The sequence below is a fragment of the Homo sapiens genome, chromosome 6 (assembly GCF_000001405.40).
Source record: "Homo sapiens chromosome 6, GRCh38.p14 Primary Assembly".
Classification (NCBI taxonomy): Eukaryota; Metazoa; Chordata; class Mammalia; order Primates; family Hominidae; genus Homo; species Homo sapiens.
Window position 1 is genome coordinate 87,322,323 of NC_000006.12, and position 21,095 is coordinate 87,343,417.

The 21,095-nt window shown below is 39.8% G+C and overlaps 2 protein-coding genes and 1 pseudogene across 4 annotated transcripts in view, besides 3 other annotated features; 2 read left to right on the top strand and 1 right to left on the bottom strand.

The window, feature by feature from the left end:
• The window catches only part of GJB7 (gap junction protein beta 7), a 46,299-nt gene extending 39,343 nt beyond the window's left edge, over positions 1-6,956 (bottom strand). The window contains exons 1-2 of the mRNA NM_198568.3: positions 6,816-6,956; positions 544-721 (exon numbers count right to left, since the gene is read on the bottom strand). The gene's annotated coding sequence lies outside the window, so the exon portion shown is untranslated. The remainder of the gene's footprint in view (positions 1-543; positions 722-6,815) is intronic.
• Positions 88-377: a silencer, noted in NCBI's record as "silent region_17373". NCBI's record gives its function as "represses an Ori minimal core promoter by ATAC-STARR-seq in GM12878 lymphoblastoid cells {active_cell/tissue: GM12878}" and the evidence as "EXISTENCE:reporter gene assay evidence [ECO:0000049][PMID:35858748]".
• SMIM8 (small integral membrane protein 8) lies at positions 266-20,007 on the top strand. Of its 3 annotated transcripts, NM_001042493.3 has the most exons (4): positions 266-310; positions 8,370-8,390; positions 14,687-14,844; positions 17,794-20,007. In NM_001042493.3, the coding sequence occupies exons 3-4, from the start codon at positions 14,710-14,712 to the stop codon at positions 17,950-17,952; spliced, it is 294 nt and encodes a 97-aa protein (NP_001035958.1). In that variant the 5' UTR covers positions 266-310; positions 8,370-8,390; positions 14,687-14,709; the 3' UTR covers positions 17,953-20,007. The 3 variants fall into 3 exon arrangements, with proteins under 3 accessions (NP_001035958.1, NP_065158.3, NP_001274374.1); NM_020425.6 differs by lacking the exon at positions 8,370-8,390; NM_001287445.2 differs by lacking the exon at positions 8,370-8,390 and having other exon boundaries at positions 18,904-20,007.
• Positions 6,014-6,700: an enhancer, noted in NCBI's record as "NANOG-H3K27ac-H3K4me1 hESC enhancer chr6:88038054-88038740 (GRCh37/hg19 assembly coordinates)". NCBI's record gives its function as "activates a minimal SCP1, AML or CMV promoter by ChIP-STARR-seq in primed H9 embryonic stem cells {active_cell/tissue: H9 hESC(primed)}" and the evidence as "EXISTENCE:reporter gene assay evidence [ECO:0000049][PMID:30033119]".
• Positions 6,701-7,385: an enhancer, noted in NCBI's record as "H3K27ac-H3K4me1 hESC enhancer chr6:88038741-88039425 (GRCh37/hg19 assembly coordinates)". NCBI's record gives its function as "activates a minimal SCP1, AML or CMV promoter by ChIP-STARR-seq in primed H9 embryonic stem cells {active_cell/tissue: H9 hESC(primed)}" and the evidence as "EXISTENCE:reporter gene assay evidence [ECO:0000049][PMID:30033119]".
• LOC100421022 (tigger transposable element derived 6 pseudogene) lies at positions 12,290-13,267 on the top strand (annotated as a pseudogene).
• Positions 20,008-21,095: the final 1,088 nt, after the last annotated feature.

Genomic DNA, 21,095 nt, shown 5'->3' on the forward strand with positions numbered 1-21,095 from the left:
ACATACACACCGAACTGGAACGTAATTTGAAGTTGGGAGGTGGAAAACTAAAGGTCAAAAAGGGAAGAAAGCAAAAACGTCCCTTGCACACTTCAGCCCGCAGACCCCAAGGAGGGGCGCGAGGTCCTCAGAACCGGAAAGGCTAGCACTGGATGGGTCCCCGCAGCCCCGCGCCGCTGCGCCGCAGCCTCCGGAAGACAGGGGACGCTGTGGCGCCGGGCGGGGCGCCCTCCGCCGCTCTCTCTAGCAGGCGGGGCGGCGAAGCGGGGCGGGGCGTCTCGGGCGAGGAGAGGAGGTGACCCCGCGAAAGGTAAGCGGCGGCTTCGGTGGTGTTGAGTGGCTGGGCGCCGGCCTGGAGGGGCCAGGGCGGCCGCACCATCACGCTCCCGTCTCTGCCCTTCCCAGCTGCCCTGCCGGTCTCCCTCCCAGGGAGGGAGCGTCCTCTCGGATAGCCCAAATCTTTGCCTCTCCGTGGACTCCCTGTACCCGCACCCCAAGTCGGTGAAGCTCTCTGGCCCCACAGAGCCCATTTCCCGTACTCACCTTGCGGGCTCCAGTTTGTTCGGTGCTTCATCCATGGACACCCCCACCCCGAGAACTCTCTCGTTTCCTGCAGTTTCTTAGTGTCTTGGCTCACCAGACTCATAGGGGAACATGGTGGTGTTTTGAGGAGACGCCGCTTTTCTTTTGTCATAGTGCGGACACTCGTGCTTTTTCAGCCCTGCAACACAATGTGTAGAACTTAACGGAATGAAGTTTTCTTTTGGAGGCTTCCAATGCGTCTGTCTTTGAGTAAGCCTTCGGCACCGAACAGTAGTCCATGACATTGGGGGAAGCCAGATGAGACTCAGATTGTCAGTACTCAGGCTGTCGCCAGCAAAGCCTTTCCCCTTTTTTCAGAGACAGTACTACATCCAAGAGGTGGAAAGATACTTTTGTTTTGTTTTGTTTATTTATTTATTTGTTATTATTATAAGTTTTAGGGTACATGTGCACAATGTGCAGGTTAGTTACATATGTATACATGTGCCATGCTGGTGCGATGCACCCACCAACTGGACATCTAACATTAGGTATATCTCCCAATGCTATCCCTCCCCCCTCCCCCCACCCCACAACAGACCTCAGAGTGTGATGTTCCCCTTCCTGTGTCCATGTGTTCCCATTGTTCAATTCCCACCTATGAGTGAGAATATGTGATGTTTGCTTTTTTGTTCTTGCGATAGTTTACTGAGAATGATGATTTCCAATTTCATCCATGTCCCTACAAAGGACATGAACTCATCATTTTTTATGGCTGCATAGTATTACATGGTGTATATGTGCCACATTTTCTTAATCCAGTCTATCATTGTTGGACATTTGGGTTGGTTCCAGGTCTTTGCTATTGTGAATAATGCCGCAATAAACATACGTGTGCTTGTGTCTTTACAGCAGCATGATTTATAGTCCTTTGGGTATATACCCAGTAATGGGATGGCTGGGTCAAATGGTATTTCTAGTTCTAGATCCCTGAGGAATCGCCACACTGACTTCCACAATGGTTGTACTGGTTTACAGGCCACCAACAGTGTAAAAGTGTTCCTGTTTCTCCACAGCCTCTCCAGCACCTGTTGTTTCCTGACTTTTTAATGATTGCCATTCTAACTGCTGTGAGATGGTATCTCATTGTGGTTTTGATTTGCATTTCTCTGATGGCCAGTGATGGTGAGCATTTTTTCATGTGTGTTTTGGCTGCATAAATGTCTTCTTTTGAGAAGTGTCTGTTCATGTCCTTCGCCCACTTTTTGATGGGGTTCTTTGTTTTTGTCTTGTAAATTTGCTTGAGTTGATTGTAGATTCTGGATATTAGCCCTTTGTCAGATGAATAGGTTGTGAAAATTTTCTCCCATTTTGTAGGTTGCCTGTTCACTCTGATGGTAGTTTCTTTTGCTGTGCAGAAGCTCTTTAATTAGATCCTATTTGTCAATTTTGGCTTTGGTTGCTATTGCTTTTGGTGTTTTAGACATGAAGTCCTTGCCCATGCCTATGTCCTGAATGGTAATGCTTAGGTTTTCTTCTAGGGTTTTTATGGTTTTAGGTCTAACGTTTAAGTCTTTAATCCATCTTGAATTGATTTTTGTATAAGGTGTAAGGAAGGGATCCAGTTTCAGCTTTCTACATATGGCTAGCCAGTTTTCCCAGCACCATTTATTAAATAGGGAATCCTTTCCCCATTGCTTGTTTTTCTCAGGTTTGTCAAAGATCAGATAGTTGTAGATATGTGGCGTTATTTCTGAGGGCTCTGTTCTATTCCATTGATCTATATCTCTGTTTTGGTACCAGTACCATGCTGTTTTGGTTACTGTAGCCTTGTAGTATACTTTGAAGTCAGGTAGTGTGATACCTCCAGCTTTGTTCTTTTGGCTTAGGATTGACTTGGCGATGTGGGCTCTTTTTTGGTTCCATATGAACTTTAAAGTAGCTTTTTCCAATTCTATGAAGAAAGACATTGGTAGCTTGATGGGGATGGCATTGAATCTGTAAATTACCTTGGGCAGTATGGCCATTTTCACAATGTTGATTCTTCCTACGCATGAGCATGGAATGTTCATCCATTTGTTTGTATCCTCTTTTATTTCCTTGAGCAGTGGTTTGTAGTTCTCCTTGAAGAGGTCCTTCACATCCCTTGTAAGTTGGATTCCTAGGTATTTTATTCTCTTTGAAGCAATTGTGAATGGGAGTTCACTCATGATTTGGCTCTCTGTTTGTTGCTGGTGTATAAGAATGCTTGTGATTTTTGTACATTGATTTTGTATCCTGAGACTTTGCTGAAGTTGCTTATCAGCTTAAGGAGATGTTGGGCTGAGACAATGGGGTTTTCTAGGTATACAGTCATGTCATCTGCAAACACGGACAATTTGACTTCCTCTTTTCCTAATTGAATACCCTTTATTTCCTTCTCCTGCCTAATTGCCCTGGCCAGAACTTCCAACACTATGTTGAATAGGAGTGGTGAGAGAGGGCATCCCTGTCTTGTGCCAGTTTTCAAAGGGAATGCTTCCAGTTTTTGCCCATTCAGTATGATATTGGCTGTGGGTTTGTCATAGATAGCTCTTATTATTTTGAGATACGTCCCATCAATACCTAATTTATTGAGAGTTTTTAGCATGAAGGGTTATTGAATTTTGTCAAAGGCCTGTCTGCATCTATTGAGATAATCATGTGGTTTTTGTCTTTGGTTCTGTTTATATGCTGGATTACATTTATTGATTTGCATATATTGAACCAGCCTTGCATCCCAGGGATGAAGCCCACTTGATCATGGTGGATAAGCTTTTTGATGTGCTGCTGGATTCCGTTTGCCAGTATTTTATTGAGGATTTTTGCATCAATGTTCATCAAGGATATTGGTCTAAAATTCTCTTTTTTGGTTGTGTCTCTGCCCGGCTTTCATATCAGGATGATGCTGGCCTCATAAAATGAGTTAGGGAGGATTCCCTCTTTTTCTATTGATTGGAATAGTTTCAGAAGGAATGGTACCAGTTCCTCCTTGTACCTCTGTTAGAATTCGGCTGTGAAGCCATCTGCTCCTGGACTCTTTTTGGTTGGTAAGCTATTGATTATTGCCACAATTTCAGCTCCTGTTATTGGTCTATTAAGAGATTCAACTTCTTCCTAGTTTAGTCTTGGGAGAGTGTATGTGTCGAGGAACTTATCCATTTCTTCTAGATTTTCTAGTTTATTTGCATAGAGCTGTTTGTAGTATTCTCTGATGGTAGTTTGTATTTCTGTGGGATCGGTGGTGATATCCCTTTTATCATTTTTTATTGCGTCTATTTGATTCTTCTCTCTTTTTATCTTTATTAGTCTTGCTAGCGGTCTATCAATTTTGTTGATCCGTTCAAAAAACCAGCTCCTGGATTCATTAATTTTTTGAAGGGTTTTTAATGTCTCTATTTCCTTTAGTTGTGCTCTGATTTTGGTTATTTCTTGCCTTCTGCTAGCTTTTGAATGTGTTTGCTCTTGCTTTTCTAGTTCTCTTAATTGTGATGTTAGGGTGTCAATTTTGGATCTTTCCTGCTTTATCTTGTGGGCATTTAGGGCTATAAATTTCCCTCTACATGCTGCTTTGAATGCATCCCAGAGATTCTGGTATTTTGTGTCTTTGTTCTCGTTGGTTTCAAAGAACATCTTTATTTCTGCCTTCAGTTCGTTATGTACCCAGTAGTCATTCAGGAGCAGGTTGTTCAGTTTCCATGTAGTTGAGTGGTTTTGAGTGAGATTCTTAATCCTGAGTTCTAGTTTGATTGCACTGTGGTCTGAGAGATAGTTTGTTATAATTTCTGTTCTTTTACATTTGCTGAGGAGAGCTTTACTTCCAAGTATGTGGTCAATTTTGGAATAGGTGTGGTGTGGTGCTGAAAAAAATGTATATTCTGTTGATTTGGGGTGGAGAGTTCTGTAGATGTCTATTAGGTCTGCTTGGTGCAGAGCTGAGTTCAATTCCTGGGTATCCTTGTTGACTTTCTGTCTCGTTGATCTGTCTAATGTTGACAGTGGGGTGTTAAAGTCTCCCATTATTAATTTGTGGGAGTTTAAGTCTCTTTGTAGGTCACTCAGGACTTGCTTTATGAATCTGGGTGCTCCTGTATTGGGTGCATATATATTTAGGATAGTTAGCTCTTCTTGTTGAATTGATCCCTTTACCATTATGTAATGGCCTTCTTTGTGTCTTTTGATCTTTGTTGGTTAAAAGTCTGTTTTATCAGAGACTAGGATTGCAACCCCTGCTTTTTTTTGTTTTCCATTTGCTTGGTAGATGTTCCTCCATCCTTTTATTTTGAGCCTATGTGTGTCTCTGCACGTGAGATGGGTTTCCTGAATACAGCACACTGATGGGTCTTGACTCTTTATCCAATTTGCCAGTCTGTGTCTTTTAATTGGAGCATTTAGTCCATTTACATTTAAAGGTAATATTGTTATGTGTGAATTTGATCCTGTCATTATGTTAGCTCGTTATTTTGCTCGTTAGTTGATACAGTTTCTTCCTAGTCTCAATGGTCTTTACATTTTGGCAATGGATGGTACAGGTTGTTCCTTTCCATGTTTAGTGCTTCCTTCAGGAGCTCTTTTAGGGCAGGCCTGCTGGTCACAAAATCTCTCAGCATTTGCTTGTCTGTAAAGTATTTTATTTCTCCTTCACTTATGAAGCTTAGTTTGGCTGGATATGAAATTCTGGGTTGAAAATTCTTTTCTTTAAGAATGTTGAATATTGGCCCCCACTCTCTTCTGGCTTGTAGAGTTTCTGCCAAGAGATCCGCTGTTAGTCTGATGGGCTTCCCTTTGTGGGTAACCCGACCTTTCTCTCTGGCTGCCCTTAACATTTTTTCCTTCATTTCAACTTTGGTGAATCTGACAATTATGTGTCTTGGAGTTGCTCTTCTCGAGGAGTATCTTTGTGGCGTTCTCTGTATTTCCTGAATCTGAATGTTGGCCTGCCTTGCTAGATTGGGGAAGTTCTCCTGGATAATATCCTGCAGAGTGTTTTCCAACTTGGTTCCATTCTCCCCGTCACTTTCAGGTACACCAATCAGACGTAGATTTGGTCTTTTCACATAGTCCCATATTTCTTGGAGGCTTTGCTTGTTTCTTTTTATTCTTTTTTCTCTAAACTTCCCTTCTCGCTTCATTTCATTCACTTCATCTTCCATCACTGATACCCTTTCTTCCAGTTGATCGCATCAGCTCCTGAGGCTTCTGCATTCTTCACGTAGTTCTTGAGCCTTGGTTTTCAGCTCCATCAGCTCCTTTAAGCACTTCTCAGTATTGGTTATTCTAGTTATACATTCTTCTAAACTTTTTTCAAAGTTTTCAACTTCTTTGCCTTTGGTTTGAATTTCCTCCCGTAGCTCGGAATAATTTGATCGTGTGAAGCCTTCTCTCAGCTCGTCAAAGTCATTCTCCGTCCAACTTTGTTCCGTTGCTCGTGAGGAACTGCGTTCCTTTGGAGGAGGAGAGGCACTCTGCTTTTTAGAGTTTCCAGTTTTTCTGCTCTGTTTTTTCCCCATCTTTGTGGTTTTATCTACTTTTTGTCTTTGTTGATGGTGATGTACAGATGGGTTTTTGGTGTGGATGTCCTTTCTGTTTGTTAGTTTTCCTTCTAACAGACAGGACCGTAAGCTTCAGGTCTGTTGGAGTACCCGGCCGTGTGAGGTATCAGTCTGCCCCTGCTGGAGGCTGCCTCCCAGTTAGGCTGCTCGGGGGTCAGGGGTCAGGGACCCACTTGAGGAGGCAGTCTGCCTGTTCTCAGATCTCCAGCTGCGTGCTGGGAGAACCACTGCTCTCTTCAAAGCTGTCAGACAGGGACATTTAAGTCTGCAGAGGATACTGCTGTCTTTTTGTTTGTCTGTGCCCTGCCCCCAGAGGTGGAGCCTACAGAGGCAGGCAGGCCTCCTTGAGCTGTGGTGGGCTCCACCCAGTTCGAGCTTCCCAGCTGCTTTGTTTACCTAAGCAAGCCTGGGCAATGGCGGGCGCCCCTCCCCCAGCCTCACTGCCGCCTTGCAGTTTGATCTCAGACTGCTGTGCTAGCAATCAGCCAGACTCCGTGGGCGTAGGACCCTCCGAACCACGTGCGGGATATAATCTCGTGGTGCGCCATTTTTTAAGCCCGTCGGAAAAGCGCAGGATTCGGGTGGGAGTGACCCGATTTTCCATGTGCCGTCTGTCACCCTTTTCTTTGACTAGGAGAGGGAACTCCCTGACCCCTTGCACTTCCCGAGTGAGGCAATGCCTCGCCCTGCTTCGGCTCTCACATGGTGCGCGCACCCACTTACCTGCGCCCAGTGTCTGGCACTCCCTAGTGAGATGAACCCGGTACCTCGACTGGAAATGCAGAAATCACCCATCTTCTGCGTTGCTCACTCTGGGAGCTGTAGACCGGAGCTGTTCCTATTCAGCCATCTTGGCTCCTCCCCTCTTGTTTTGTTTTTAGACAGAGTTTCGCTCTGTCGCCCAGGCTGGAGTGCAGTGGCACGATCTCGGCTCACTGCAACCTTCACCTCCTGGGTTCAGGCGATTATTCTGCCTCAGCCTCCCGAGGAGCTGGGATTACAGGCCCGCACCACCACACCCAGCTAATTTTTGTATTTTTAGTAGAGACGGGGTTTCACCATATTGGCTACGCTAGTTTCAAACTCCTGACCTCAAGTGATCCTGACCTCAAGCAATCTACCCGCTTCGGCCTCCCAGAGTGCTGGGATTGCAGGCGTGAGCCACCCTGCCCGGCAGGAAAGATACTTTTTTAGAAAGTATGTTTTACCTTAAAAACAACATATATATAATCAATTTTTAAAACTTAAGTGATTATAATTTTTTTTCTTAAATATTGTAATATACATGCAAAGGCCTTTTATCAATTCAAGAGTAAGATGGGGTGAGGTGGTGAAATATTGGTGGGCTGGTAATTGGGAGACCTAGGTGATCGCACCCTCCTGGTAAGGACATCTCCTTGGGTCTGGGTTTCTCAGAAAGGGGTTTAGAAGGGGGAGTTAGACTAAATGGTGAGTATGAAAGTAGCTACCATTCATTGAACATCTGCATCTTTTAAAATGTGTCATCTTAATTAATGCACACATTTAGTACCTATCTATGCAATAGATAGTATTGCTCCTTTTATAAAGGTAGAAACTGAGAATCAGAGTTGTCACTTAAAGACACACAGCTTATAAGTAGCAAAGTGAGAATCTGAGGTTATGCTATGTTTCCCCTCAAGCCATGAAGTCCTCTGATTCTATCCCAAACTTGTTTAAACTAATTTAAATTATTTTTAAGGTTTTCTGCCCCAAAGTTCAAGTTAGTTTCTTAAGTATTAAGATAATGTGGCATGTGAAACTATAAAAAAGTGTATTATACTTTCATTAAAATATTTTGCCCATTTTATAATTCTCTGTCTTTTAAAGGAAATGCTTTCATTATTAATAAGGTTCCTGCTCGTTAACATTTTATGATTCTGGTCATTTTGTTTTGTCTTCTATTGAGGTGCTTATTTCTAAAATGTATGTTTGAAGATTAAGTGTTTCCCTCAAAGTAATTCTTATATTCTTTATATCTTAGTCTAATTTGCATGTACAATATATTAATAGGTAGTCAAGTATTCTGGAATAACTCCCTGAGCAAGAATTTTGCTAAAGAAGGGAAAATCATTCAAAAATGACTAGTCCTGACTCTCGGTGTAGGACCATCTGTACAGCCTCTCACATTGTGTGTTATTAATTTCAGGGGCTTACTATTCTTACACTTTGAGATGTAAATGACTCTCATGGAGTTGGGTAAACGGGCAGTCCTTTATCTTTGCTTCTTCCTTTTTCCATTGCACGCTTCCGTCACAGGAGGATGGACAGAAGAAAAAGGTAAAGAACATTTTACCAGAGAGAAACAAATGAAGCAAATACCCCTTAGTTTAGACCTTTTTTACAGGCACCTGTGAAATGTTCTACTCTCCTCTATTTTTTTTTTTAAGAAAAGATAAATAACAGTTTCTTAATCATGCATGGAAAAGGGAACAAGAAGTGGGTGATGGAAAAATGAAGAAGAAATAAGAGTGGGGCAGATTGCACAGCCAGGGGTGCCTGATTAATTATTTTGCAGGTAGGCCCGCACACAAATTAATCACAAAATTACTTAGCCAAGAGCAGTGTAATGCCAGGTTCCCAGCATCCTTGCTAATCTATGTGTATGTATGTTTTATGTCATTACTGTTTTAACACAGTAAATGAGGTTTTTAAATGCAGCTTAAAAATAAATAGATCCTCAAAGTGATAATAACTAGAGATTGGTCAATATCATATGTAAGTAAATGAGTGACAGCTGCAGTGGAAACAAAAAGTAAGAGAAGAAGGTGGAGAAACTAGTGGGAAGACTAAGAAAGTTCTGATGGAAGTGTGCTGGACATTAACTGGTTTTGTCTTAGGTGAGTGGTAATGTCAGAGTAAGTTATTGCCATGCCTTGACTTTATGATTAGTTCTGCAGCTTTTAAAATTGAAACTTGTATTAGTTTTGTACTTGAAAACAGCTAGTCAACTTAAACTTCAGGATTAAAAGTTTACTTGTTAAAATACAGATTTGTTTTCCCCAAAACAATTTATACATGTGTGAAGAAATGACTAAGGTTTTGCATTCTACCTGTTTTATTTATTCCTGGCACATCTTGAATTTATTCGTCAGCCATACTTGTACAGCTCTGTGGGCTGGCATGTGAACAAATACAGAAGAATTTTCTCGTATGTAGAAAAGATTTTGTTTTTGTTTTTGTTGTTGTTTTTAAAATAGTTATATATAACAAATTCTTGGCTGCTAAGACCCTTTCTGGTCTCAGTAATCTGAATTTTTTTTAACAAAGTATAGATGGTTGTTAAAAAGTCTTAGTTTGATAGATGGTGTAAATAAGTTCATGGAATTTTGGGAGAATTGTTGTATCATCAGTGACTGTGGCTCATAAAGGAGAAGCAGCAATAAAACTGAGCTGTTTTATCCCACTTCTAATAAAAGAATGATAAATAATAGAAAATGTTACTCTCATACTTTCCAGAAAGTGTCAGTAACAGTGGAAATTGTGGTATATTAAATCTTTTAAAAATATACATGTGAGTTTCCAGTCAAAATATTCTGTCATTTCTAGCAGAGTTTAACATAAACAGTGAATTATTAAGGTAAATGTGAGTGTCTGGGAGTTGCAATATAACAAATACTACCCTGATTATTTTATTGATTCATTATAAAGGAAATATAGGTTCTGCTAAGGAAAAAAGGAGATCAAGCAATCTTACAAATAAAATTAAGTCATCACAATTAGTGTTAGAATGCTATATAACTATATAGTTTTTTACAGACATATTTCATATAGGTTGAATTTCATAACACTCAGCATCACTGCATCCATTTAATTTTAAAATACTGACATTTTTGTTAGTTGTAACTAGTCTCTCTCTTTCTCTTTCTCCTCCTCTCCTCCCCCCCCATATATGTATATATATATATATAAATGACAGCAGATCCCTTCTGAATAGATTAATGCCCTCCCTGAGGGGATGATTAACTCACTCCACACCTGAAGTCCAAAATTATATACAGTATATAATTTTATATACCCCAGGAGTGGAGTAATAATAATATATAATGTAAATTGTATATTACATTATTGTTTAATATATAATTTATTATGTTAATAAATTACATATAATTAATATATAATTATATGTAACATAATTTTATATAATTTTGGACATCAGGTGTGGAGTGAGTTCATCCTCCTCAATTCCTGGCACATTATCATCCACACAAAGTATATGTAATAAACTATGCTCTGAGGACCCTTCTGTGCTCTGCAATATGAACTTCTATACCCATCTTTTCCATCACCTTGGAAAAATGCTGTTTATGTCAGTTTCTGGTTACAATGACTTTTACCTTTGTATATTTGCTTTTTCAGGCCTTTGTAGTATTTTTATCTAATGCCTCAGTTTCATGTAGTGGCACACTCTGAGGCTGAGATTCAGCCCTAATAACATGGCCATGGGCTATTTTCTTCCTAATGTTCCTTATAGGTTTGGCTGTTGACAGACTATAATACTGCTTCCACTTTAATGACTGCTTCATTTTGCATTTTCTTTTCCTATCTTAGCCCATTTGTGTTGCTATAAAGGAATACTGAGGCTGGGCAATTTATGAAGAAAAGAAGTTTATTTGGTTCATGGTTCTGCAGGCTGTACAGGAAGCATGGTGTCAGCCTCTGTTTCTGGTGAGGGGCTCAGGTTGCCTCCACTCATGGTGGAAGGTGATGGTGATCTGGCATGTGCAGAGATCACATGGTAAGAGAGGAAGCAAGAAAGAGAGGGGAGGTGCTAGGCTCTTTTTAACAACCAGCTCTCCAGGGGACTAATAGAGTGAGAACTCACTTGCTCCCCACGCTCCCCGAGGAAGGGTATTAATCTATTCATGAGGGATCCACCCCCATGACCCAAACACCTCCCACTAGGCCTCACCTCCGACATTGGAGGTCAGATTTCAACGTGAGGTTTGGGAGACAAATACCCAAACTATAGCACCCACGTTTATAGTCAAACAAGTTTTTAGCACAGGGAGAAACATCACTGACACCTGTTATAGGCACCTGGTGGCCAACATTTGTTACTTAAATTCTAAATACCTTTATAAACACCATCGTGGCTAAGAGAAGAAAAATGAAACACCAGCAGTTCTCATTAGAAGAAAAAAATGGTAGTAGTGGAAGCAGTAGATTGCTGCCACAACAAAGGAGAAATAGCAAAGGAATTTAACACCACTACCCCAACATTGTTCACATTTTTGAAAGATTGAGCCAAGATTGAAGAGAAAGTTTAAAAAGGGATTCTGGGACTAAAGCAAAAGTGAATGTGAGGTCCCTTTTATCACTGTTTTTGCATGATATCAGGTTCATGCAAGAAATGGGCATGTAACTGTGCTGTAGAAAGCATTGGATTTTTGCCAACCTTAGGAATTGTGTTAGTCTCTTCTTGCGTCATTATAAAGAAGTACCTGATGCTAGGTAATTTATAAAGCAAAGAGGTTTAATTGGCTCACGGTTCAGCAGGCTGTACAGGAAGCATGGTGCCAGCATCTGCCCCTGGTGAGGGCTTCAGGAAGCTTTCAGTTGTGGTGGAAGATTAAGTGGAAGCAGGCATGTCACATGGTGAGACAGGAAGCAAGAGGGAGGGGAAGAAGTGTCACACTTAAACAACCAGATCTCACATGAACTCATAGAGTAAGAACTCGCTCATTACTACAAGGATGGCACCAAGCCATTCATGAGGGATCTGCTCCCATGATCCAAATGCCTCCCACCAGGCTCCACCTTCAACACTGGGGATTACAATTCAGCTTGAGATTTAGAGGGGACAAACATCCAGAGCTTATCAGGCATGGTGAGTTTCAAGCAAGTGCGGGCTGCCCGAACAAACTTTGGGCATATTCTGGAATTGTTTCACAAGTTGCCTGTAGTGAAGAAAACACTGTTTCAGTAGAGAAAATTATTAACTTACATGCAGGAGAAATTTAAAAACAAGAACAAAAATTGCTGGTTACAGCTTCAGTGGCTTGTTTGTTTGTTTGTTTGTTTGTTTGTTTTTGGATACAGGGTCCAGCTGTATCCAAACAGGATACAGCCTGTTGCCCAGGCTGGTCTCAGACTCCTGGGTTCAAGCAGTCCTTCTACCTCTTCCTCCCAAAATAGTGGGATTACAGGTGTGAGCCACCCCGCCCAGCCTGAATGGTGTTTTAAGTGCTGATGAAACAGGTGTTCTTGTTACCTTATCATATGCTTCATGCCAAAGGTAGACTTTGCAAAGGAAATAAACAGATTGATGATTGGTGTTTCTACTGTAATGCATTTTGGAACAATTGTCTTTGGCAAGTCAGCTAACTCTCAGTGCTTCAGAAATGTTCCTCCGTGATTACCAAGCCAATACACATGCCTGAATAATGAGAGATGTGTTACTGAATAGCTGATAAAGATTGACAAGGGAATGCAAGGAGCAATACACAGTATGCTCTTGCCAGTAGACAATTGGTCTGCCCACAACATACTCCTACACTTGGATCATGTAGGGGTTGAGTTTTTCCCATTGAACTACACAGCCATTCTGCAGCCATTGGATCAGGGTACAGTTGGCACAGTGACAGCTCACTTCTGAAAGCAGTTGGAACAACTCTTTCTAAATGTAGAGCATGAAGAGAAAAATGGAGAAAAGCAACATGAGTAAGCCATTGACATGATTGCAGAGACTTGGTGATCTATAAAGTTATCTGTAATCATGAAATGTTAGCAAAACACAGGCATGATTCCTGTGGAATCCCCTGAGGTCCTCCTGTAAGAAGACTGCAACTAAATGTGGTATTTGAACCAATCTAGCACTCAACTGCTGCTGTCATTGATGTCTCAAACCAGTTTAATTTTGAAGACTGTGTGGCTACAGATAGCAATTTAACTATTTCCCAAGTTACCAAATCCTGAAGTTGCTACAGGAGTGCTAACTGATGTAAAAATTGAACCAGAAAGCCGTGGTGATAGCGATGAAGAAGGCAACAATGATAATCATGATATGCATGAGGAATAAGTGATGGAACCAGCAACAGTGAACATTTCTGAAGCCTTTGCAAGTATAGAAAGTGCTTAGAACGTTCCTTTTTCTTCAAGCAGATGTTCCTCTTGAGGTGCATACCCAATTAAATGATATAGATGAACATTCAGCGACTACTGCAACACAAAGTATTTTGAAAAGCCAAGTTCCTAGTTTTCTCCTTAACTACGAAGTTGTGAAAATATTGATTTTATAAAGTCTATAAAATAGTAAGCTTAATGAATACTTATACTGGCCAGGTGTGGTATAAGTATACAGGCATGGGATCATGCCTGTAATCCCAGCACTTTGGGAGGCAGAAGCAGGTTTGCTTTGTTGCCAGGAGTTTGAGACCAGCCTGGGCAACATGGCGAGACCCCGTCCCTACCAAAAAAAAAAAAAAAAAAAAAAAAAGCCAGGTGTGGTGCATGCCTGTAGTCCTAGCTACCTGGGAGGTTGAGGTGGGAGGATCACTTGAGCCCAGGTGTTTGAGGCTGCAGGCTGCAGTGAGCTATGATCACGCCACTGCACGTGCATTCCAGTCTAGGCAATCGAGTAAGAAGACTGTCTCAAAAAAAAAATACTTGTGCAAACAAAGCCCCAATGTGTGTTTAAGTATGAATGTTTGGCTCTTAACTTTTATTTTATAACATTTACTGTACAGCGATTGCAGCATTTCCCCCAAATAATTTTACTATATTGTCATTTATGTCCATCTTTGGAAGCTTTCTTTCTCTACCTCCCCTCTTTCAACCCTCACCTCCCATCCCAGCATTAGATGGCAGAGAGGATAAAATAAGCTTTTGCCTAATAATACCTAGAAGAGAAAAATACTCCCAAAGTGCTGACATTTCAGCTAGGAAAACAAGAAGACAAAAGACACACTTGGATTTAATAGGATAGATTTACAGTAGCTAAGATAAAAAAGGATATTCAGATTAAGGAGATAGCAGGGCATAACCTACCCAGAAAGTTGCTGATTGGCAATGGAAGAGTAAGTACAAACAGCTCCTTATCCTTACTGCTTGGGAAAATGAGTTCGTGTGTGGGCTAGTGGAGGAAGACAGAGGAGCAGTGGGGGAAACTGGCCAGGAGTGAATCTGTAGGAGAAGATAATGAGCAAAGGAATGCTGGTCATTCTCTCAGGTTGGTGTTATGGAGGGGCTGTTGAAAGGTGAGGAGGAGTGAAAGCAAGGAACTAAGGAAAGGAACGGATAACCTACTGGCCTCACCTACTCATAGTCTTGGTTGCATATGATACGACGTGACTCAGAGCAACAAACAATTCTCCAGTCTTCTATAAAAGCAGGAAAACAACCTTTGCCCACCACTTTTATTTTGAGATGAAAATTAAAATAATGAACAAAATTAACAAATTAAAGTTAAAGCACCATTTACAAAGTACATTATACAAAGTAATAAGATAACTGACAATCACATTTGGTATGTATCTGGGTTGGAATTCAAAGAAGGAATTTAAGAATTACTTTTTAAAGAAATTTATCAGAGAAGCACAATTATGAAGGGAAAAAATATATTATTTTGTTTTTAGATAATAAATCATCATTGATCAAGATGTCTTCAGCACCTGAGCCTCCAACATTCAAAAAGGAACCACCCAAAGAGAAAGAGTTTCAAAGCCCAGGGCTCAGAGGGGTGCGCACAACAACCTTATTTCGTGCTGTGAATCCAGAGCTCTTCATTAAACCTGTAAGAAATACATCCAGGATAAGACTTTGTGTTTAATCCAACCAGACTGTCAGAAAGTTCTAATTTTCTTGTATTTGATTTTATCATGGAAATTTTATGTTGACAAGTAAGACCTCTCTGTGAATAAAAGCAGGTGGAAGGACGATTGTAAATGCTGTTTCACATATAAATACACATATAAAAGTAAATATTTTAAGGGCATTTGAGAGTTATAATGAAAAATGGTTGCCCTTTATTGGATTGGCTTCTCAAACTATCTAAAGTACTATTTTAATAGTTGCATTAATTTGAAGACAACTTTTGTTGTTTGATCAGGTACTATTAGGTAAATAAGACCTTCCATTTAAGCAAGGAAACCAAAATGAAAATCTGACCATTCTTAACATACTGCAATTCTACCCTGTAGGTAATATTTTTATCTAAGCAATATTACAGATACTTTGTGAAAAATTCCAAAACATTTGATTTGATGATATTCATTTATTTATTAGAGGTTCTGTCACCTAGGCTGTAGTGCAGTGGTACAGTCAGCTCACTGCAGCTTCAAACCCCTGGGCTCAAGGGATCCTTGTACCTCAGCCTCCTGAGTGGCTGGGACTACAGGTGCACGCCTTTATGCCTGGCTCATTTTTAAAATTTTTTGTAGAGATGGTGTGTCAGTATATTGCCCAAACTGGTTTTGAACTCCTGGCCTTAAGCGATTCTCCCACCTCAGCCTCCCAAATTGTTGTGATTACAGGCATGAGCCACCACGCCTGGCTGAGTTTATTTTTAAATAAATGTAGATTCTATTTTAAAATAAATGTAAAATCAAATTAAAATAAAATATGATAAATATTTAAGTGTGTTGAATCTGATTAGAATTTTAGTAACATAGTTATCAATGTAAACTTTTAAAGTTAAATAGATCAACTTAATCAGATCATTAAATCAAGGTAAAATATTTTAAAAGCTTTGAACTAATGTGTTCTTTTAATTGCTAAAAGCATTTCAAGAATTGTAAATTTAAACTGCTCTGAGTCTGTGTCCTTTCTTAGGTGTTCATCTAAGTGAAAAAGTTTGACCCTTATTTTGAAATAGAAGTGTCACCTAAAGGAAGAAACTGAGGCAAATTAATATAGGTAGGGAGTTTATTTGGGCCAAGGTTGAGGACTGCAGCCTGGGAAACACTTCAGAGTAACCTTGGGAAGCACTCTGGAGAGCAAAAGAGAGGCTGGAGTTTTTAAGAAAAAAGATGAATCAGGAGAGGGGGCAAGTACAAAAGTTGCTTTTCAGTAATTTTCATTGGTTTGCAGAAATGACATTGATTAGTAATTATACATTGTTGAACTACAGAGTATGAGTTATAATGTCTAGTGGAGGGCATTGTAAGGTTAATATATAGCTATTGGTTGTGTCAGTCCAGAGCCCACATAACAAGGGCTTCAAAATTATTACTTAGCTCAAGACATGACTACTGTCTCATTCCAATGCCTCTCTGGGCCTGATAATTTAAAGGGGGCTCACATTCCACAGTTAAAGAGTTTCTTTTATTTCTCAGTAGTGGTACAGCAGGTATGGTGACAGAAGCAGAAACTGTTATTTATATCACTACTGTGCATTTACATTGACCTAAGAAAGACCAACTCGTTGAGTGTGAACATGCAAAGAAAAGGGTCTGAGGTACAGTTTCAGGAGTAACAAAGTTAATAGACAAAATACTTTTCTGGAGTTGTGAACATCTTTCCTGTATTTAAAAGCTTTTTTTTTTTTTTTTTTTTGACTGGGCATCATGACTCATGTCTGCAATCCCAGTACTTTGGGAGGCTGAGGTAGAGGGATCTCTTGAGGCCAGGAGTTCAACATACTGAGACTCTATCTCTACAAAAAAATTTAAAATTAGTCTGGCCACAGTGGCTCACACCAAGGTGGGCGGATCACTTGAAGTCAGGAGTTTGAAACCAGCTGGCCAACATGGTGAAACCCTGTATTTATTAAAAATACAAAAAAATTAGCCAGGCATGGTGTGCACAACTGTAGTCCCAGCTTGGGAGGCTGAGGCAGGAAAATCGCTTGAGCCCAGGAGTTTGAGACTGCAGTGAGCTATGATTGCACCACTGCACTCCAGCCTGGGCAACAGAATGAAATCCTGTCTCTTAACAACAACAACAAAACACAGCGTGTGTGTGTGTGTGTGTGTGTGTGTGTGTGTGTGTGTGTGTGTGTGAAATCCTGTCTCTTAACCTCTTAACAACAACAAAACACAGCGTGTGTGTGTGTGTGTGTGTGTTTGTGTGTGTGTGTGTGTGTGTGTGTGTTTTAACCTGAAAGCATCACTTTGCCTCTTAGGGTCTTGGATTGTCCAAGAGTAAATCAAGGTTAACAGCATAATAGCTGTTCCCATCACTAAATTTCTTGAGGTAATGGAGTAGTTTCCCAGAGAAGAGTGTATACATCATCATCATTTCTGTGCCTATTATATAAAAGGTTTTTTGCCAGTTATTCATGACTTGGGCAAGAAGAATAGCATGTCTAGTTCATTCCTCACTTCCTAATAAAATGAACTAATTTGAAGTTTGCAAATGGAGAGACTTGGGCCCAGGACCCAGGAAGTTAAGCAGCTCCTCCACTTCACCCAGATAACATTGAAAACTCCGGGTGCTGACCAGTTTTCCTGCCCCACTCCTTTCCCAGCTGTCACCTTCCTGAGAGTAGAGGTCTGAGATGTCCAGGGTGTAGATGGGAGAAAGCCTGGAGAGGAGAAGCAAGAGTCTTCTATAATCTCTAGATAATCAGTAGCTTAGCTAATTGAATAAAGAACTGAATAAATGATTTTAATTGAAATATTGCCATGGTAATGCTAGTGTTGTAATAAAGATGTGGCATGTCAGGAGGAAAGTGCAACCGATATTTGGGTCTCCTCAAATTGTTAGTCTTACTAAAGCTTTATAATTTTTTTTTCTTTGACAGAACAAACCTGTAATGGCTTTCGGATTGGTAACTCTTTCACTTTGCGTGGCATATATTGGTTATCTACATGCAATACAAGAGAATAAAAAGGACCTCTATGAAGCTATTGATAGTGAGGGGCACAGTTATATGAGGCGGAAAACATCCAAATGGGATTAGTAGTGCTGGTTAGTGCAGATGGACCTTTATTAAAGGTTCTGAAATCTTCAAATGAAAGACCTTGTGAGTGTACAGTATCATGTTTCTTGTTCTAGAACATGCTAATGAAGAGAGAAGATAGCAGTTGCAACCAGACAACTGTCGTAAATTTTGTCCTTTCACAGCTGCAGCCATTATCTCATTCTTTTTCCACAGAGTGAGCGTCATAATATTTTTCTTTCCTTACCTCTTATAAAAGTGCCATGAGAATGGAAGTTGTTTTTGTTAATTATTAAATTCTGTATAATAAAAGTACCCATGCTGTTAAATTTGCATGATGTTTTAAATATTTTAAGATGAATTATGCCGGTGCAGCTGTCGTGAAAGTTTACTTGTGTTTTGCTACTTGCAAAGGAAATGTTCATGTTCTCCCTGGCATAGAACCTATATTTTTAAAGAAAGATAAATAGAAATTTTAAGGCCTGAAGTCAATATTAAAAATATGAGATATGAGAAACTGAGTTGGCTCTGACAAGTAGTTTTTATAGTGTCACAAATGGTTCATATATTTCAGTTTCCATTTTAGCTATTTTTGGGACAGAATTTTATTTTAATGGAAAAGATCCTTCCACTCAGCTACTAAAATAAGGATTAAGAATATCCCAGAGTAATTGGAGTTTTTCTTTAAAAAAAAAAAAAAAGTATGTTTTACTGAGGTATGATGATTTTGACTACAACTAAATGTTATCTATTTTAGTGTTTATGTTAATTAATGTTAATTAATTTTGTTTATGTTAATTTGTGTTAATTAATGTTACTGTAATGTTATAAACATAAGACCAAGTGTTCTTATAGTTATTTAAAAACTACAACTACTCAATGGATAAGGAATAGATAAGGTCTCCTTATTGTACCTTTTTTTTCTTTTGAAGTTTATATGCCAGCAGGCCTTTTTGTTTTTTTCCTTTTCAGAATGTTTCTTATTCTCTGAAGCATCAGCATTTTGAAGTGTCTTTTATGGAAGTGGGGACAGAAATGGGGGTAAAAATGAGTGTAAACAAAGCCTAGCCCTACGGTCAGTACCCACTGGAGGTGAGAAGCAGAATGGCCTTGGTTGTCCTGGCACCTGGCCCAGGGGCCTAGGACAGAGGTCAAGGCTAGGCCCCTGTGTCTGGCCAGATTCTGCCTTATAGAATTCAAATCTTTCTTACAAGGGTTCTGGACCCGTTTCATTTCTAGATATATACCTAATTCTCCAAATCATTGTCATTGGGCCTCAGTAGTAAATCTTACCTCTGAAGTCTTGCTTCAGTCGCTATTAATATTACCAAGTAATAATAACAGCACAGGCAGAGTTTATCATAATGTTATTTTTAATTTGTCATACTTTATTATGGTTTTGTAAGGTACATGAAAATGTAATTATGTGTGATTTGTAGGTATTAAAGAACTTAGCTAATTGAATTTACATGAAACTAAATAAAATCTTTACTACTGAGCCCCAAATATGTATTTGCTATGCCTGTCTGTATAATGTACTTCATATAGTTTAAAATGCACTTCAGTGATACAAAATCCCTTTTAAAGACTCTTTTGTTTTTGTTTTCCCTGTGTATTTTGGCTATCACAAAACTAGGGTTCTTCTGTTTTTAACTTATGCATTTAATGACACATTGCCATCTTTTAGAATTTTTTACTATTCAACAGAATAAGCTGATGTTTGGTGGCAGAGGAGTTATTAGTTGCGTGAACTGTCAAGAGATTGCAGTGCAGGAGGGCAACAGAAACTGTACAAGGTGCAGACTTGAGTCATGTAAGATCTATGTGAATGAACCAAAGTAACTAGAGTCAGTCAAGCACAAAGCTGTGAAAAGTAGTGTGTGGAAAGAATCATACTGAATTTTAGGAACAAGTACCTGACTATGATACTTTTTACAGAGTGACTACAAGTTGTAGGACAGTCTTTGTGTGTGCTGAGTGTCAACAGCTGCCTGCCTATGTGTTGATGTTTTCATCCTTTCTTTGTTGAATGAGGGTATAACCATCAAAAATAAAATACCTTTCAAATAGTCCAAAGATTCTGAACATTGAACTTCACCTGATCCAATCCTGTCAGTTTATGGTTAAGACAATAGGCTGAGAATGGCTAAGAGATTTACCAAAGATCAGGGAGATTCTCAGTCAGGAGTAGAACCTGTATCTTCTTGCTCTAAAGTCTAGGGATCTTTTCACCATACTATACCACCTTCTATGTGTAAATGTGCACATAATAATAAAGCAGCCACATTAGCCCTTAAAAATAAGAAGTTTAGATCTTAAGTAGAGAAACACTCCTGTACTTTAAAACAGAATTATGTAAAGGACTGTTAACTGCCAGCTCCCTCACAAGACCATCAGAACAACCTGATGATCAAACAAAACTAAGCTTATTAAATCTACTGCACTAAAGGGAAATACCACTTTTACAAAGTTAGCTGTATTTAAGAATGGGATGGTCAGGGGAAGATATTAAAGTCTTTTGGAAGTCTGAGTTCAAGTGATTAAAGAAGGGTCTTTCAATGCAGGAATCTGGTTGAGAATGGGCAAGGTACCTGACAGAACAGATTAGATCTTGAAGCAAGTCTTGATTAGTAAACTATTGTTCAATAAATGTTAAGTGAACTCTTTGCCCAGGGGAGTAGTCTAATCTTCTGATGGAAGAGCTGTTTGCCTAGATCAGCAAGCTGTCCAATTGATAAATTGTTTTTCAAGGATTTCCTAAGGCAAACACTGAAAGTATTTATTGGTTTTACAGCCTTATCTTCCATAGGAGGCCCAACTCTTCCAATTTGCCAGACACTAAGGAAGTTCAGGACTTTCAGTTTTAAAACAGGGACAGTCCCAGGCAAATCAAGGCCAGTTAGTTATCCTTCCATCTGGGCAAGAATTTCTAGTAACAGATAGGAAAGTTATTGGCACAAGTAGCCTCAGTTCTCAATCCAGATAATTAACTGTGTGGATGCAGTAATCCTCATTCTTCATACTAATTCATCTCTTTGTTTTTAATTCCTCTCCAAGTCCCAGTTAACCCTTTTCTTGAAGTCAAATCTGGCACAATTTGATAGTTACTTAAGGTCTTCAGCCAGTTATCAGGCCGTATGTGTTAATATAAATTATAGAGTAAC